The 19,007-nt window shown below is 37.2% G+C and overlaps 1 protein-coding gene across 1 annotated transcript in view, besides 2 other annotated features; it reads left to right on the forward strand.

The window, feature by feature from the left end:
• Positions 1-19,007, forward strand: part of INTU (inturned planar cell polarity protein) — a 93,781-nt gene that overhangs the window by 17,600 nt on the left and 57,174 nt on the right. The window contains exons 3-5 of the mRNA NM_015693.4: positions 6,080-6,165; positions 12,825-13,028; positions 18,480-18,598. Of these exons, the coding sequence (NP_056508.2) occupies positions 6,080-6,165; positions 12,825-13,028; positions 18,480-18,598 (409 nt within the window). The remainder of the gene's footprint in view (positions 1-6,079; positions 6,166-12,824; positions 13,029-18,479; positions 18,599-19,007) is intronic.
• Positions 4,791-5,391: an enhancer, noted in NCBI's record as "OCT4-H3K27ac-H3K4me1 hESC enhancer chr4:128576502-128577102 (GRCh37/hg19 assembly coordinates)". NCBI's record gives its function as "activates a minimal SCP1, AML or CMV promoter by ChIP-STARR-seq in naive H9 embryonic stem cells {active_cell/tissue: H9 hESC(naive)}" and the evidence as "EXISTENCE:reporter gene assay evidence [ECO:0000049][PMID:30033119]".
• Positions 5,392-5,990: an enhancer, noted in NCBI's record as "OCT4-H3K27ac-H3K4me1 hESC enhancer chr4:128577103-128577701 (GRCh37/hg19 assembly coordinates)". NCBI's record gives its function as "activates a minimal SCP1, AML or CMV promoter by ChIP-STARR-seq in naive H9 embryonic stem cells {active_cell/tissue: H9 hESC(naive)}" and the evidence as "EXISTENCE:reporter gene assay evidence [ECO:0000049][PMID:30033119]".

Here is a 19,007-nt window from a genome sequence, read left to right on the forward strand (position 1 = left end):
TTTTTATGGCTGCATAGTATTCCATGGTGTATATGTGCCACATTTTCTTAATCCAGTCTATCATTGTTGGACATTTGGGTTGGTTCCAAGTCTTTGCCATTGTGAATAATGCCGCAATAAACATACGTGTGCATGTGTCTTTATAGCAGCATGATTTATAGTCCTTTGGGTATATACCCAGTAATGGGATGGCTGGGTCAAATGGTATTTCTAGTTCTAGATCCCTGAGGAATCGCCACACTGACTTCCACAATGGTTGAACTAGTTTACAGTCCCACCAACAGTGTAAAAGTGTTCCTATTTCTCCACATCCTGTCCAGCACCTGTTGTTTCCCGGCTTTTTAATGATTGCCATTCTAACTGGTGTGAGATGGTATCTCATTGTGGTTTTGATTTGCATTTCTCTGATGGCCAGTGATGAGCATTTTTTCATGTGTTTTTTGGCTGCATAAATGTCATCTTTTGAGAAGTGTCTGTTCATGTCCTTCTCCCACTTTTTGATGGGGTTGTTTGTTTTTTTCTTGTAAATTTGTTTGAGTTCATTGTAGATTCTGGATATTAGCCCTTTGTCAGATGAGTAGGTTGCAAAAATTTTCTCCCATTTTGTAGGTTGCCTGTTCACTCTGATGGTAGTTTCTTTTGCTGTGCAGAAGCTCTTTAGTTTAATTAGATCCCATTTGTCAATTTTGTCTTTTGTTGCCATTGCTTTTGGTGTTTTAGTCATGAAGTCCTTACCCGTGCCTATGTCTTGAATGGTAATGCCTAGGTTTTCTTCTAGGGTTTTTATGGTTTTAGGTCTAAGGTTTAAGGCTTTAATCCATCTTGAATTGATTTTTGTATAAGGTGTAAGGAAGGGATCCAGTTTCAGCTTTCTACATATGGCTAGCCAGTTATCCCAGCACCATTTATTAAATAGGGAATCCTTTCCCCATTGCTTGTTTTTCTCAGGTTTGTCAAAGATCTGATAGTTGTAGATAAGCGGCGTTATTTCTGAGGGCTCTGTTCTGTTCCATTGATCTATATCTCTGTTTTGGTACCAGTACCATGCTGTTTTGGTTACTGTAGCCTTGTAGTATAGTTTGAAGTCAGGTAGGGTGATGCCTACAGCTTTGTTCTTTTGGCTTAGGATTGCCTTGGCGATGCGGGCTCTTTTTTGGTTCCATATGAACCTTAAAGTAGTTTTTTCCAATTCTGTGAAGAAAGTCATTGGTAGCTTTATGGGGATGGCATTGAATCTGTAAATTACCTTGGGCAGTATGGCCATTTTCACGATATTGATTCTTCCTACACATGAGCATGGAATGTTCTTCCATTTGTTTGTATCCTCTTTTATTTCCTTGAGCAGTGGTTTGTAGTTCTCCTTGAAGAGGTCCTTCACATCCCTTGTAAGTTGGATCCCTAGGTATTTTATTCTCTTTGAAGCAATTGTGAATGGGAGTTCACTCATGATTTGGCTCTCTGTTTGTCTGTTATTGGTGTATAAGAATGCTTGTGATTTTTGTACATTGATTTTGTATCCTGAGACTTTGCTGAAGTTGCTTATCAGCTTAAGGAGATTTTGGGCTGAGACAATGGGGTTTTCTAGATATACAATCATGTCGTCTGCAAACAGGGACAATTTGACTTCCTCTTTTCCTAATTGAATACCCTTTATTTCCTTCTCCTGCCTAATTGCCCTGGCCAGAACTTCCAACACTATGTTGAATAGGAGTGGTGAGAGACGGCATCCCTGTCTTGTGCCAGTTTTCAAAGGGAATGCTTCCAGTTTTTGCCCATTCAGTATGATATTGGCTGTGGGTTTTGTCATAGATAGCTCTTATTATTTTGAAATACGTCCCATCAATACCTAATTTATTGAGAGTTTTTAGCATGAAGGGTTGTTGAATTTTGTCAAAGGCTTTTTCTGCATCTATTGAGATAATCATGTGGTTTTTGTCTTTGGCTCTGTTTATATGCTGGATTACATTTATTGATTTGCATATATTGAACCAGCCTTGCATCCCAGGGATGAAGCCCACTTGATCATGGTGGATAAGCTTTTTGATGTGCTGCTGGATTCGTTTTGCCAGTATTTTATTGAGGATTTTTGCATCAATGTTCATCAAGGATATTGGTCTAAAATTCTCTTTTTTGGTTGTGTCTCTGCCCGGCTTTGGTATCAGAATGATGCTGGCCTCATAAAATGAGTTAGGAAGGATTCCCTCTTTTTCTATTGATTGGAATAGTTTCAGAAGGAATGGTACCAGTTCCTCCTTGTACCTCTGGTAGAATTCGGCTGTGAATCCATCTGGTCCTGGACTCTTTTTGGTTGGTAAACTATTGATTATTGCCACAATTTCAGCTCCTGTTATTGGTCTATTCAGAGATTCAACTTCTTCCTGGTTTAGTCTTGGGAGAGTGTATATGTCGAGGAATTTATCCATTTCTTCTAGATTTTCTAGTTTATTTGCGTAGAGGTGTTTGTAGTATTCTCTGATGGTAGTTTGTATTTCTGTGGAATCGGTGGTGATATCTCCTTTATCATTTTTTATTGTGTCTATTTGATTCTTCTCTCTTTTTTTCTTTATTAGTCTTGCTAGTGGTCTATCAATTTTGTTGATCCTTTCAAAAAACCAGCTCCTGGATTCATTAATTTTTTGAAGGGTTTTTTGTGTCTCTATTTCCTTCAGTTCTGCTCTGATTTTAGTTATTTCTTGACTTCTGCTAGCTTTTGAATGTGTTTGCTCTTGCTTTTCTAGTTCTTTTAATTGTGATGTTAGGGTGTCAATTTTGGATCTTTCCTGCTTTCTCTTGTGGGCATTTAGTGCTATAAATTTCCCTCTACACACTGCTTTGAATGCGTCCCAGAGATTCTGGTATGTTGTGTCTTTGTTCTCGTTGGTTTCAAAGAACATCTTTATTTCTGCCTTCATTTCGTTATGTATCCAGTAGTCATTCAGGAGCAGGTTGTTCAGTTTCCATGTAGTTGAGCAGTTTTGAGTGAGATTCTTAATCCTGAGTTGTAGTTTGATTGCACTGTGGTCTGAGAGATAGTTTGTTATAATTTCTGTCCTTTTACATTTGCTGAGGAGAGCTTTACTTCCAACTATGTGGTCAATTTTGGAATAGGTGTGGTGTGGTGCTGAAAAAAATGTATATTCTGTTGATTTGGGGTGGAGAGTTCTGTAGATGTCTATTAGGTCCACTTGGTGCAGAGCTGAGTTCAATTCCTGGGTATCCTTGTTGACGTTCTGTCTCGTTGATCTGTCTAATGTTGACAGTGGGGTGTTAAAGTCTCCCATTATTAATGTGTGGGAGTCTAAGTCTCTTTGTAGGTCACTCAGGACTTGCTTTATGAATCTGGGTGCTCCCGTGTTGGGTGCATATATATTTAGGATAGTTAGCTCTTCTTGTTGAATTGATCCCTTTACCATTATGTAATGGCCTTCTTTGTCTCTTTTGATCTTTGTTGGTTTAAAGTCTGTTTTATCAGAGACTAGGATTGAAACCCCTGCCTTTTTTTGTTTTCCATTTGCTTGGTAGATCTTCCTCCATCCTTTTATTTTGAGCCTATGTGTGTCTCTGCACGTGAGATGGGTTTCCTGAATACAGCACACTGATGGGTCTTGACTCTTTATCCAATTTGCCAGTCTGTGTCTTTTAACTGGAGCATTTAGTCCATTTACATTTAAAGTTAATATTGTTATGTGTGAATTTGATCCTGTCATTATGATGTTAGCTGGTGATTTTGCTCGTTAGTTGATGCAGTTTCTTCGTAGTCTCAATGGTCTTTACATTTTGGCATGATTTTGCAGCGGCCGGTACCGGTTGTTCCTTTCCATGTTTAGTGCTTCCTTCAGGAGCTCTTTTAGGGCAGGCCTGGTGGTGACAAAATCTCTCAGCATTTGCTTATCTGTAAAGTATTTTATTTCTCCTTTGCTTATGAAGCTTAGTTTGGCTGGATATGAAATTCTGGGTTGAAAATTCTTTTCTTTAAGAATGTTGAATATTGGCCCCCACTCTCTTCTGGCTCGTAGGGTTTCTGCCGAGAGACCCGCTGTTAGTCTGATGGGCTTCCCTTTGAGGGTAACCCGACCTTTCTCTCTGGCTGCCCTTAACATTTTTTCCTTCATTTCAACTTTGGTGAATCTGACAATTATGTGTCTTGGAGTTGCTCTTCTCGAGGAGTATCTTTGTGGCCTTCTCTGTATTTCCTGAATCTGAACGTTGGCCTGCCTTGCTAGATTGGGGAAGTTCTCCTGGATAATATCCTGCAGAGTGTTTTCCAACTTGGTTCCATTCTCCCCATCACTTTCAGGTACACCAATCAGACGTAGATTTGGTCTTTTCACATAGTCCCATATTTCTTGGAGGCTTTGCTCATTTCTTTTTATTCTTTTTTCTCTAAACTTCCCTTCTCGCTTCATTTCATTCATTTCATCTTCCATTGCTGATACCCTTTCTTCCAGTTGATTGCATCGGCTCCTGAGGCTTCTGCATTCTTCACGTAGTTCTCGAGCCTTGGTTTTTAGCTCCATCAACTCCTTTAAGCACTTCTCTATACTGGTTATTCTAGTTATACATTCATCTAAATTTTTTTCAAAGTTTTCAACTTCTTTGCCTTTGGTTTGAATGTCCTCTCGTAGCTCAGAGTAATTTCATCGTCTGAAGCCTTCTTCTCTCAGCTCGTCAAAGTCATTCTCCATCCAGCTTTGTTCCGTTGCTGGTGAGGAACTGCGTTCCGTTGGAGGAGGAGAGGTGCTCTGCGTTTTAGAGTTTCTAGTTTTTCTGTTCTGTTTTTTCCCCATCTTTGTGGTTTTATCTACTTTTGGTCTTTGATGATGGTGATGTACAGATGGGTTTTTGGTGTGGATGTCCTTTCTGTTTGTTAGTTTTCCTTCTAACAGACTGTACCCTCAGCTGCAGGTCTGTTGGAATACCCTGCCGTGTGAGGTGTCAGTGTTCCCCTGCTGGGGGGTGCCTCCCAGTTAGGCTGCTCGGGGGTCAGGGGTCAGGGACCCACTTGAGGAGGCAGTCTGCCCATTCTCAGATCTCCAGCTGCGTGCTGGGAGAACCACTGCTCTCTTCAAAGCTGTCAGACAGGGACATTTAAGTCTGCAGAGGTTACTGCTGTCTTTTTGTTTGTCTGTGCCCTGCCCCCAGAGGTGGAGCCTACAGAGGCAGGCAGGCCTCCTTGAGCTGTGGTGGGCTCCACCCAGTTGGAGCTTCCTGGCTGCTATGTTTACCTAAGCAAGCCTGGGCAATGGGGGGCGCCCCTCCCCCAGCCTCGCTGCCGCCTTGCAGTTTGATCTCAGACTGCTGTGCTAGCAATCAGCGAGACTCCGTGGGCGTAGGACCCTCCGAGCCAGGTGCGGGATATAATCTCGTGGTGCGCCGTTTTTTAAACCGGTCCGAAAAGCGCAATATTCGGGTGGGAGTGACCCGATTTTCCAGGTGCGTCCGTCACCCCTTTCTTTGACTCGGAAAGGGAACTCCCTGACCCCTTGCGCTTCCCAAGTGAGGCAATGCCTCGCCCTGCTTTGGCTTGCACACGGTGTGCGCACCCACTGACCTACGCCCACTGTCTGGTACTCCCTAGTGAGATGAACCCGGTACCTCAGATGGAAATGCAGAAATCACCTGTCTTCTGCGTCGCTCACACTGGGAGCTGTAGACGGGAGCTGTTCCTATTTGGCCATCTTGGCTCCTCTGTTTTGTTTTTACTGTGGGTCTAAGTGGTTAGATTCAGTTTTGTCAAGTACAGTATTTGGTTCATGCTAACAAATTTTCCATTTGTTCTTTGGGTTTACATAATTCTCCCAATTGTATCAAGAATAAAAATAGTTATTTTTTAAAATATTCATAGGTTGTATTATTTATGGTGCAATAATGGGCAGTATTATAGATTAAGAAGAGTAAAGTTAGGAGAGTAGCCCTGCCACCAATGAGCTGTATAAACCTGGACAAGTTCCTGCTTGTCTGCACCAGATTTCTCACTGTACTTTGAGGATGTCAGAGTAGCTGTTTAATGTTCCAATTCTAGACCTCTATGGTTTTTAGATATTCATAAAACTATCTTTTATTGTTATTCTGGTTTCAGGTGATGTCCTTGTTGCTGTGAATGATGTCGATGTTACTACTGAAAACATCGAGAGAGTTCTGTCTTGCATTCCTGGACCTATGCAGGTATGGACATTCTTTTTCTATATTTTATGATGTTACATAAAATAAATATATAAATATATCGTGCACTATTTTCCTTTTTAAGCGTCTGAAAAGTATCATGTATAATGGATGAGTTACACTGATACTTGCCTATTTAAGAAAATTTAGCTCTTGCTAATATTATTAGCTTCTGGAGATTATTCTAAAAAGAGAGAAAAATATCTACAAGTAAAATTCTACATAAAGCAGTAACAGCAACAGTAATGAAAACATACATAATTGCAAACTTGCCATTATAACTACCATATATGCTTGTGACAATCTGGTTCCTAGAAGAGTCATTTTAAATAGTCAGGGAGTTTTCTGTTCTCTGACTTACTAAGATCACTGTTGCTATAATGTTTTTTTTTCCAATGTGATTTTATTTTAAAAACAAATCATACAAGTTTCTTGATTTTTTTTGTTATTTAATTAAGCTTTTCTCCTGGACTTTTGTTTGGCTACTTAAGGAATTATTTTTCAATCCTTGTAGATAGAAATAAATTTATTTTATAAAAAGTAATTTTGATACCCTAAACATTGACATTGTGTATCGTAGATGATGTTTTTCAGTTATTAGGGGTATTTTGCAAGTGCTATACCTTTTGGTAACAGAGTATACCATGAATACTCTGTTCTAGATAGCATCAGGAATTAGCATTCTCTTTTTGGGGGGATAGGGAAGATTATATGCTTTATGTGGGTTAGAGCAGGGGTCCCCAAACCCTGGGCCACGGACTGGTAGTGGTTCGTGGCCTGTTAGGAACTGGACTCCACAGCAGGAAGTGAGCAGTGGGCAAGCGAGCAAAGCTTCATCTGTATTTACAGCTGCTCCCCATCGCTCACATTAGTGTCTGAGCTCCACCTCCTGTTAGATCAGGGGTGGCATTAGATTCTCCTAGGAGCACGAACCCTATTGTGATCTGTGCATGAAAGGAAGGGATCTAGGTTGTATGCTCCTTATGAGAATCTAATGCCTGATGATTTGTCACTGTCTCCCATCACCCCCAGATGGGACCATCTAGTTGCAGGAAAACAGATTCAGGGTTCCCACTGATTCTACATTATGGTGAGTTGTATAATTATTTCATTATATATTACAATGTATTATAATAATAATAGAAATAAAGTGCACAATAAATGTAATGTGCTTGAATCATCCTGAAACCGTCCCCCAACCCTGGTCTGTGGAAAAATCGTCTTGCATGAAACCAGGCCCTGGTGCCAAAAAGTCTGGAGACTGGTGGGACAGAGGACCCATCAGGCAGTGAGAGGATGAAGTCGTTTTTGGATTGGTCAGGTTGAAGAATAGAATCCCTGATAAATCAGAATCTCAGCTGCATCTGATTTGAGATTCTGAAATAATAAGGCACATGATGAAATTCCTTATTTTCTGGGAAACAAGGTTTCCCTAATGCCCATTTATTTGTTTTAAACATACTTTGTATGCACATGTATGTGTGCGCATGCACACACACACACAGATGCTCTGTAAATTTAGCTATCTTTGGAAATGTAAAATGAAAGTGCTGGAATAACTATGGTAGCTGAGACCAGCAATGCCTAGGAATGGATAGCGAGATGGAGATGGAGATGGGGTGGTGTTTGAAATAGTAACAATCAGGGGGACATCAGCCAGCCATGGTGCTAGAGTAGGTTGTACTGTTACCCACTTTAGTCACTAGATGTGGGGAGGTCCAACAGAGGGTACTAGGGTACTTCAGGGTGCTCAGACAGCAGCTACTTATTGATTAATAGTGAAGAATTGCAGTATTTTGACAAGTGAGTCAGCTTCCCCCAAGTGGAGTAGCTATGTATTATCCTGAGTGAGGGATCCCCTTTTCTTGCCTATGTTGGTTGCAGGTGTGCTTCCAGTATTGCCAGAGTTCAATCATGTCTATTCTTTCTTCAAAAATATGAAAAGTTATGTTTACAGCAGAATCACATTATACTTATATTTAATTAACCTTTGCAAATTCAACTGTGCACACTTAGCAGAAGAAAAAGGGAGAGAAAGAAATTAGGATTTAATATTTTGGACCAGTTCCATCCACAATTAATCCATCCTTGTTAAACATGCAAGAGGAGTCAAGTATACATTTATTGTATGCACGATTTCTATTAGTATGAAATAATTATACAACTCACCATAATGTAGAATCAGTGGGAGCCCTGAGCTTGTATTCCTGCAACTAGATGGTCCCATCTGGGGGTGACAGGAGACAGTGACAGATTATCATGCATTAGATTATCATAAGGAGTGCACAACCTAGATCCCCCACATGCACAGTTCACAACAGGTTTTGTGTTCCTGGGAGAATCTAATGTCACCACTGATCTGACAGGAGGTAGAGCTCAGGCAATAATGTGAGTGATGGGGAGTGGCTATAAATATGAATGAAGCTTCGCTCACTGGCCACTCACCTCCTGCTATGCCACCTGGTTCCTAATGGTTCTGGTACCTGTCCATGGCCTGTAAGAAGATGCCCTTATCCTTAGGAGATACCTGCTGAAGTACTTAGGGACAATGTGTTAAAATACCTGCAAATAATTTGCAGGTTCAGCCAAGAAACTTAAAAAATACATATAGAGAAGAGAGGAGTATGGAAGGAAAGGAAAGGAAGACCAGAGAGAAGAGACAAAATGAAGCAAATGTGACAAAATGTGAGCAATAGTGCCATTAGGTGTGGGATTATGGGCAATCATTGTTCTCTTCTTACAACTTTTCTGTAGTTTTAAAATTTCTAAAATAAAATGTTGATTTAAAGAAGAGGTTTTCGAAATTTTAAATAACAAGAACAAAGGTGCAAATACCCATCTAATTGTTGACTTTTGTGACCCTGATCCGTTTCTGCAGCTCTGTGCTCTCATTCATTTAACAGGTACATAATCATGCTTGTAGTACATCGTCTCTTCCCGTCTTTATCCGGGAGCTTGGGTCCAAATTTTGCAGATGACGAAGACTGATTTCATTTAGTACTGGGCCATAGCTGGCTTTTTTAGAGCTTTGGAGGAACCTAACTCCTTTTCTAGGAGAACAGCCTGAAGATTATTAGTCTTGGACTCTTCTTTCTCAGGTAGTTCTTAGGCCTAAAGGAGGGGGCAAAGGCTTCTTAAAGGAAATGATTCTTGAGTGGAGTGTTTTAACTTTTATTATTTCCTTGTTACACAGAAATGATACATATACTGTGGAAAAATTAGAAAACAAACTAGTAAAATTTTTTAAATATTTGTAAATCTATTCTCAGAACCCAGAAGTAACCATTTATATCAACATTTTAAAGTGCAGGACTTACATGCAAATCAAATTTGCATTTTAGGAATATATCACTCTGGATGGGGGAGGCATATGCAAGACAGGAGGTCAGGAAACCAGGTGGTTGGGTTTGCAGTAGTCCAGAAGAGAGATGATAAAGGCCTGAGCCTTTATTGACCGGGGATGGAGGAGGAGATTAGATTTAAGATAGAGAGGAAGGAAAGAGGACAATATTTTCTACAGGAGAGAGAGAAGTCCAAGAAGCCTTCCAAGTTTTGTCTTGAGTCACTCAGTGAGGTGGCCCAAGAAGAGAAGAGGATGGAGGAGAGATAATCTGCTGAGCCAGTCAGACTCGATTCCCTCAGAATTTTGACTAAGGAGTATTGAAATCATCTGCCAGCTGTTAGCCAACAGGGAAAGGACAACACATGCAGAGAGCAGTGTAGATGATGGGAGAGACGGTGCAGACTGAAGCAGAGGTGACAGACTGGTCAGCTTCCACAGCTGCTGCAGATTCTGACAGCCTCCCCAGGTCCCATCTGTGAAGAGGATGGTAGCTAAAGGGGAATCAGAGGATTTCTTTGTTTGGTAGATGATTTCTTTGTTTGGAAGAGACATTGCTTTTTAAATAGGATGGGCTAAAGACTGAAGTAGAAAGAAAAGACAAAGCAACAAGACTTTGGAAGTGATGAGTCATAGAGAGTGCGTCCTTGGGTCTGAGGAAAGGCTGGGCAAACCGCACAAAGAAGAGGGACATAGGACACGAAGGATCCTGAACCTTGTACCAGGTTAAAGTCTCACCGAGTAATAAGAGAAAACCCTTTATAAGAAGCTTCATGTAAACTAACTTATGTTAAGTATCATTTAATAAAAGTTTTTCCCTATAAAACATATAATATCCCTAATATTTATGTATATCAACCTATTTTTTAAAATAGCACTTAACTCTTAATTTGGTTATCTGTCTCACCCTTTACCATTTTATCAAGGCAACCAGATTTCCTGACATTTGTAGCTACTTAACATGTAAGCTTTTAAAAATGTCTTTTTAAAGTATAATTTTATTTGTATTATGGAGCCAACTTTACTTAAATCAGAAGAATAGTGGCTGAAATAGTTCCCTAAGGAATTTTAATGGATGGTTCGGTGGTGTGTGTTTTTGTTTGAGTTTTTGTTGTGGTGAGACAAAAAGGTCCTTGCACCACAGAAAATAAATGATGTTGTTTGCCAAGTATAACACTAGTTTTCAAGTATGTTGTTTTTCACCAAGCATAGCAAACCAATCTTAAATTTGAGGTTGTTGCTGCTGCCTGAAGAAAATTGGTGAATTTTTGAGTCTATTTTTGGTAGACTTAAAAATTTCCCTTTTTTTATTTTTGGTAGGTTGCACCCTACCTCTCCACCCATAAGAATCTCAGCTGGGAAAGATGCCTTCCTTGTTCTGAGATGCGTTTCTTTCTCTGAGGACCCGCTTTCTTGTCACCACTTCTTATGCACAACTCTCATAGACACTCCAGCTTCATCTCTGTGACACCTGCTTCCCTAGGATGTGACTCATCTCATGCTCCCTCTGATTTGATTTCTCCCCTTCTGTACCGCTCACACATCTCCACTCAGAGCTCCTTCCTAAAGCCCAATGCCAGGGGACAATCTTCAGAGCTCCCATCTATCTGTCACAAAGTCTATACTCAGGAATTCCCCAAAGAGTTCTCAAATTTCCAGGGAACACCACCAAAGTCTTCCATATACTTTCTTTTGGGTACTCCTAAATCCTCATTCTCAGATAAAGGAATTTGGGGTAGATACCCAGTAGAGGGGTTGCTGGATCTAATAATAGATCTGCTTTTAGTTCTTTTAGAAGTCTTCATACTGTTTTCCATAGAGGTTGTACTAATTTACATTTCCACCAGCAGGGCATAAGCGTTCCCTTTTCACCACGTCTGCTCCATCTATTGTTTTTTGACTTTTTAATAATGTCCATTCTGGTTGGAGTAAGGTGGTAGGTACCTCATTTTATTTTAACTTGCATTTCCCTGATGATTAGTCATGTTGAGCATTTTTTCATGTTTGTTGACCATTTGTATATCTTCTTTTGACAAATGTCTGTTCAAGTCATTTGCCCACTTTTTAATGGGATTACTTTTTTCTTGCTGATTTGAGTTCTTTAGAGATTCTGAATATTAGTTTTTTTGTCAGATGCGTAGTTTGCAACTATTTTCTCCCATCCTGTAGGTTGTTTACTCTGTTGATTATTTATTTTGCTGTGCAAAAGCTTTTTAGTTTAATTGGGTCCCATTTATTTATTTTCGTTTTTGTTGCATTTGCTTTTGGAGTCTTAGTCATAAATTCTTTGCCTATGCCAGTATCCAAAGAGTACATTTTCTTCTGGAATTGTTATGGTTTCAGGTCTTAGATTTAAGTCTTTAATCCATCTTAAGTTAATTTTTGTGTACGGTGAGAGACAGAGTTTCATTCTTCTATGTGTGGCTATCCAATTTTGGTACTTCTTTGAAATGAACGAGTTATCTTTGACCAATTGGTATCTAGACAAATATTTCCTTTTCCAAGGATAGGTAATTTTAATACTTCATCCCTAAGTACTTTGAAATGTATCTCCTAAGAATAAGGGCATCCTCTTACACCAGGGGTCCCCAACCCCCAGGCCACAGACCAGTACCAGAACCATTAGGTAATTGAGAAATGGAGGCTACCTTTCCATACCTGTGGAAAATGGCCACATTCTGGACTCTTACCAATCTTGACATCAGGCCATGAAATTAAAACTCTCTTGATAAAATTGATAATCTTCTTAGAGCCATGTTGGTCTAAGATCCAGCATGCTGATAGCGTTTACTTTCCTTGGCCTTTGTTTTAAAGAACCAGAAAGAATGTCTGAGAGAAGAATATTTGAAATACCACCTTATTTGAAAGGAGAGTTAACTTTGGTTGTGTGAAGTCACTCTTAATGCTGAATGTCTTCCTTCTATCTTCCCAGATAAGCCAGTGCTATCGGCATTGATATTGTGGTGTTATTCTTTTTGCACTATCAGATCATACTAATTTCTGGTTTTTGATGGCCTTTCTTATTTTTATAGTCAACAATTTAGACTGCAATGATTATGTTTAATTAAATGAATTTTATACAGAACATTATAATTCTTATTCAATAAATATTTGTGGTAATATGTATCAGACACTCTCCTAGGAGCCGAAGATACAAATATAAATAGAATACGTAGTCCCAGCCATCAGGAGCACTCACTCTAGGATGATTTATATATACTGTACATACCTGGGTGTATGTACATGCACAGATCCTTCATTGTGAAAACTGCAGCTGATTTTCCCTTGTCGAAAAGTCAACACATTGTTTTAATTTTTAAAGGTGAAACTGACATTTGAAAATGCATATGATGTGAAAAGGGAGACGTCCCATCCAAGACAGAAAAAGACACAGTCCAACACAAGTGATTTAGTCAAGCTTCTCTGGGGAGAAGAGGTTGAAGGTATCCAGCAGAGTGGCCTAAACACTCCTCATATCATTATGTATCTCACACTACAGCTCGACTCAGAAACCTCAAAGGAAGAGGTGAGTGTCCTCAAAAGTCCAAAGGAAATAAGTTTAGTCAAAAGCCCAAAGGAAAAAGTAAGGACCTTTTATCGTATTCCCAGTGAATAGTGAGTATATTTGATTTAAGCAAGAGACAAAAATGAATTAACTGTTTTTCTTTAAAATTGTGTATCTAATACTCTATTATAGATATGAATATTTCATACCACAAATGTTTTTAAAATGAAAACAAATTATTCAGTTATTTCTGTAGGAAAAGAAAAAAGAGGAAGGTATCGTTGCAATATCTTTTAACTTAGAAGCTAAGGTCTTTTTAGCTTTTTTTGATATGTTTCCTTGAATTATTACTTATACATAATAAAATTCAACAATTTTAAGTGTACAATCTGATGAGTTTTGACAAATATATTACACTTTTATAACCAGTATCACAATCATGATATGGGACATTTTTATCACCTCAAAAAATTTCCTCTGTGCTCTGTTACAATCAATCCCCTCCTGCTATTAATAGCTTTTAATGCAGGGGGATGTAGCATTAACTTTCTTCCATAGGTTGTAAATAGTTTTTATGTTTTACATATTATTTTTTAAATTCATTTTCAATGTTTACTGAATACGTACTTTTTGTCTAGCATAATATCAGATATTTGGTATTTTTATTTGCAGGTAAAGGACATAATCCTAGTAAAGATAAGTAAAATGTTTAAGTTCACATAGCTAGTAACTGACAATTTCTACTTAAGCTGAAGTGTTTCCAAATTCTATGCCCTTTCTTTGATACCAGGTTACCTTTCAACCTCAATGTTTTGAGGCTGTTAATTGTTTTGTTCAAGTTTTATCTTTTATTGGTTTCTTGTCTGCTTTGCCTATTCATAATTAAGAAAGATATAGAAATCTCCCCCTCTGATGAGGATTTGTCCATTTTTCCCTCCAGTTCTAAATATTTATGCTTTATATATTTTGAGACAATTTTGTTAGGTGCATTAATGTTTAGAATTATTAAATCTTCCTGGAGAAAACTAAACTTTTTGACATCATGATATGATCCTCTCCACCCTAGTTTGTTTCTGTCTTAAAGTCCTTTTTTAACATTAATGTTTTAAAAATAATATTTAATATCATAGAGCTTTATTTTATAAGTATTTGAATTTTTTTTCTTTCTTTTTCTCAGTCCGTGTCTTTATGTATTTGACATATCTTTTACACGCAGCCTGTTTCCAATCTGGCAGTCTCTGTCTTCTAACAGACAAACTCAGTGAGTCCATTTATAGAGATTACTGATATATTTGAATTCATGTCTGCTATCTTCTTTAAAAATTTCTACTGGAACTGCTTTTTCTGTGATATTTTTCTTACCTATTTTTCGTTGCTTGTATCATTATTCTTGCTATATACTCTTTCTTTTTTTTAAATGATTACACTTAAAATTTAACATGATATTTGTCTTAACAGATACTAAAGTGAAACACTATCTTAACCCCTTTTCAAATAATTCAAAGCCCTTAATACACCTTAGTTTCAGTTACCCTTCCTTTACTCATGTGCTATTGTCATCAATATTTTAGTGCTATCTCTTTTCTCCATCATCTATAATTATACTACTACTACTTATTATTATTACATTTTATACACCAAAAAATTTATAAATTAAGTATATATTATACAATATATAAATGATATAAATATAATTATATATTGCATATATTTATATGTTTGTTTTTAATATAAATATTATGTATTTCATACAGCTGTACCTAGTTTAAATTTACAATTGTGCCTCACTTTTTCTTTACTCATCATCCTCTTACATCGGAAACTGTCTTTATTGGATCATTCTTTTCTTCCTAAAACATATTTTAAATATTTCTTTTTAGTGAAAGTGTGTGGGTGATCAATTCTTTTTGTTGTTATTTATCTGATGATGTCTTCTTTTACCTCTTCCTGAAAGGTAGCTTGATAATTCTAGATTGTATTCATCTGGGTAGGCTACTTGCTATAACAAACAATCCTAATGTCTCAGTGGCTTAACATGATGAAAGTTTAGATCTCATTTCATTTAACTGTTCCTGGTCATGTGGCTCAGTGACTCCAGCCTTTCTTCTAGTGTTCCTATTATTCCCAAGGGCTTAGGAGTCCTCTGTTAGATCCTTTGCATCTAGCTGCCAATGAGAGAAGAGAGAAGGCAGGCAGTATCACATGGGACATTTTGGAGACCTGACTTGAAAGAAGTATCATCATTTCTGCTCATGTTCCACTGGGTAGAATTAGTCACATGGTCTATCCATATGCAAGGAAGTAAGAAATGTAGCCTTCCTGTGTGGCCAGGAAGAAGATCAAGTGAATACGTGGGATTGCTTGTGCCACCTAAGTAGATAGTTATTTTCTCTAATCTATTTGAAGATAGTATCCCTTTGTCTTTTGACCTCTATTATTGCTGTTAAGAAGTCTACTGTCAGTCTATCATTCCTTTGTAAGGAATATGCCTTTTCTAGTGTTTGTTCAGCTTTTAGTATTCTGTGCCCAAACTGTTGTTTAATCTCTCCATTGTGTTTTCTATTTAAACAATTATATATTTATTTTTAGAAGTTTCTGAATAGTGCTTAATCAACATTTCAAATCTGCCATGATATCCCCGATCGTCTCTTGTTGCTTGCTCATCTTTGTGACTCTATACTTGTAGACTCTATACTCTATTCTAGATCTACTAGATTCTACTAGCTCTAGTCCTAAGTGGATTCTCACTTGTAATGGTTTCCCTTCTTATGTCCTTGGGGATCTTTGACTAAACTTATTGCTTGATGTTATCTTTGGGAGTCTTGTCATTCTAATGAGGGGATGCTCTCCTCCAGAGATAATTTACTTCTTCTGCTTTTGCCACTGACCTAGGATATTTCAGCCTTACTTGAGGGTATGGGCTTAATACAGTGGTTCTAGGCTCAGCTCACCTACCTTGTTCCTAGCCCAGTACTCAGTGTCCTGATGGAAGCTGTCGTGGGAATCAGCCCTCAGGACAGCCCTGCTTCTGTCTTTCTGCCCACCACTCAACACTCCCAGCAGAGACCCTAACTTGCTCTGCAGTAATGGAGGAAGTTAGAAGGTTGTCCTTGGAAACCTCTCTGCTTCTTGCATGTCAGCAATTTGAAAAGTATGTTCTGGCCATGGATCTGGTTTTACAGCGCAAGGGTCTCTCAGAGCATCTAGTCAAACATAATGCTTTGAACAGAAGTGAGATTTAAAATGTTTTTAACTAATCTGTATCTCTTTCTTTTTGAAATCCTTCCAGTCTGTATTCTCAATGCTAAAGCTATTTTATCCAAAAGGATGCATTTCCTTGTGTTGCTTCATATATCAAAATTTAGTGAATAATCAAAATGGCAAAGAAGGAATTTACTTAGACACATTTTTTTTATTTTCTGTGTTCTGAAAAATACATACAGACCTAGAGTTAATAATTCTAATTTCTTGTGTGTAGTACTGATCCTTTATATTTTTAAAACAAATGAAATATTTAAGCATTTGTTATATAAAACATAAAACAAATTTCCGGGATGATAACATCCTGAATCTTTCTAAGTCGTTTTGGAGTAAGATACTGCTAAGACCTTTTGTCATCCTTGCCTTTCTTTCCATGGGAAAGTGTGTAGATGTTTCTCAAAAGAACAGGTTTCTGTCTGTTGCCAGCCCTGTATCAACATTGTAATTAAGAGAGGCTTTTATTCTTATTGAACAGAGTGGAAGCTGCTGCAAATGCATGCTACTAATAAGTGCTTAAAAATACAGCTAATTAAATTGGTTAGGAACCGTAGAGCTTGCCAGGTCTTTAATAGTGAGGCTTTTATGACTGGAATAGAGACCTTCTCAAAAGACCTTTTTTAACTGGTATGGCTTAATTTATAACAAAATGTCATAAGGTCATTTTGTTTTCTGTGAGTTACATATTTAATAAAAGCTTAGCTTCTTCAAGTCACAAGATTTCAAAATGTAAAGACCATAAGCTTGGAGATTTCGAAAAACTATTCAAAGAGTATATGGGTTTTTTTTGTTTAAAGTAGTGTATGGTATTTTGGCTAAATGCAATAAAATTATTTATTGGCCAAGATTTAAATCTATTAAGTAGACAACAGAAGATCTTAACTGATATTTAACTTAATTTCTAGATATAAAATAATGTTTTGTAACTTTTTTACACTAGAATTACTGCAATACAATTTTAGTTGTTAGGCAGAGTGTATTTGGCCAGCATATTCTATAGCAATTTGCATATATTGAATGTGCTTACTAAGTATAAAAAGCAGATGTCTCCACTTTATTTATATTTGTCATAATGTAAAAGTTGGCAAGACATGGAGACCATATCATGTAATTATTTATTGTATAGCGAGACCGCAGCAAGATATATAATACTCTTTAGAGAGCTGGAGAACCAGAGAAAATACATGATACTATTTAAGGAGTTTGGGTTTTCAATGGTGGCAATATTAATATTTATGGATACAGTCATTAAACAGGGCAACTGGAAGCTACTCTGAATTCTTCATGGTTCCTCTCTGAACATTTTCATTTTGCCTGCTTTTAATTTTCCTTGTGAGAGAAATAAATGTTGCTTTAAGTAACAACAAAAAATGAGGTACAGAATGGTTCATCTCTTTGTATGAAAGTATTAGCACAGCGCACATCCTGATTTTGAAGTTTGTCATTTTATTTTGTAAAAACTATCTGTTTCCCGGGACATGCTCTTCTTGAAAACAGAAAAATATAAAGCATTTTGTGAATTATCTTGTATGTCTAGTATTTTCCATGATTTAAAATAAAATATGCTCTTTTAAAGTTTGAATTCAGATTAGTTTGTGGTATACACAGTGTTTCTAATTTGACAAATAAGATTTTATAATATCGTGACACTTTTTTCTTATTATCTATATTATAATTTAGTTCTGTATTCTCACTTTGTAAGTTTAATTGCTGTCTTGGCTTGGATTTAATGATTTCACCAAAAATGTTGAATATTGTCTTTTAAAAAATAATGTAAAAGTAATTAAATTTAAAGACTCTTAATAGTTACTTGTGGTACCTGTGTAGCTATGTAACCACAGGGGACGAGAATAACTGTATAGTATTAACAAACTATAATAAAATATTAGTATTATAAATTATTATTAAAGAGATTAAAGTTTAAAACTGTTTTAAATGATTTGTAATGTAAATTAATCAGTATCCTACTTAGTATATTATTTGTTATTATGACTAATTTCGGCAGTCTCTAACTTATTTTCAAGTGTAGTCTTTTACATGCTAGTTAATGTGTTAAAATTCCAAGCATAGTTCTCCCCTTGTGTTTGAACAAAACTCCCACTGAAGCTGAAAGGATTCATTTTTTGTTCTTTTCTTAACACAAAGTTTGAACTTGCCCTGACAAAGATAATGGTTGGAAAATTGGGTGGTTTGATCATTTGTTTCATTTAACAGCAGGAAATTCTTTATCATTATCCAATGTCTGAAGCATCTCAGAAACTTAAAAGTGTGAGAGGGATTTTTCTCACACTCTGTGACATGCTGGAAAACGTAACTGGGACACAAGTTACTAGGTAATAATTTTTATTTAGCTTTAATTCTGTTTTTTTCAAGTTCTTTTATTTCACCCTGACAAAATGCTAAAACAAGTATCTGGTATACAAATATACTTGTATCTACAATGTATGTATTATATACATTATAGTCTATAATGTATGTATATACACGTATATATCTATACATTATAGATAACGAGCTCTGCAGAATGTCTGCAGATTTTTGCTTCATCTAAGTTATTTCTACCAGTCATCTATTTGAAGTGTAGATTCTCAACACAGCTGTAGATCTGGGTGTTTTGGCACATTTTAAAAAACACTCGGGCCTATATTTATTATTTCTTCATGAAGATGTATCTTTTAAGCATGGCATTATTATGAATCTCAGCTTTTTCATGTTTCTATCTTGATTGTTAACTTCCTAGGC

Source organism: Homo sapiens, chromosome 4 (genome assembly GCF_000001405.40).
Source record: "Homo sapiens chromosome 4, GRCh38.p14 Primary Assembly".
NCBI classification, from domain to species: Eukaryota; Metazoa; Chordata; class Mammalia; order Primates; family Hominidae; genus Homo; species Homo sapiens.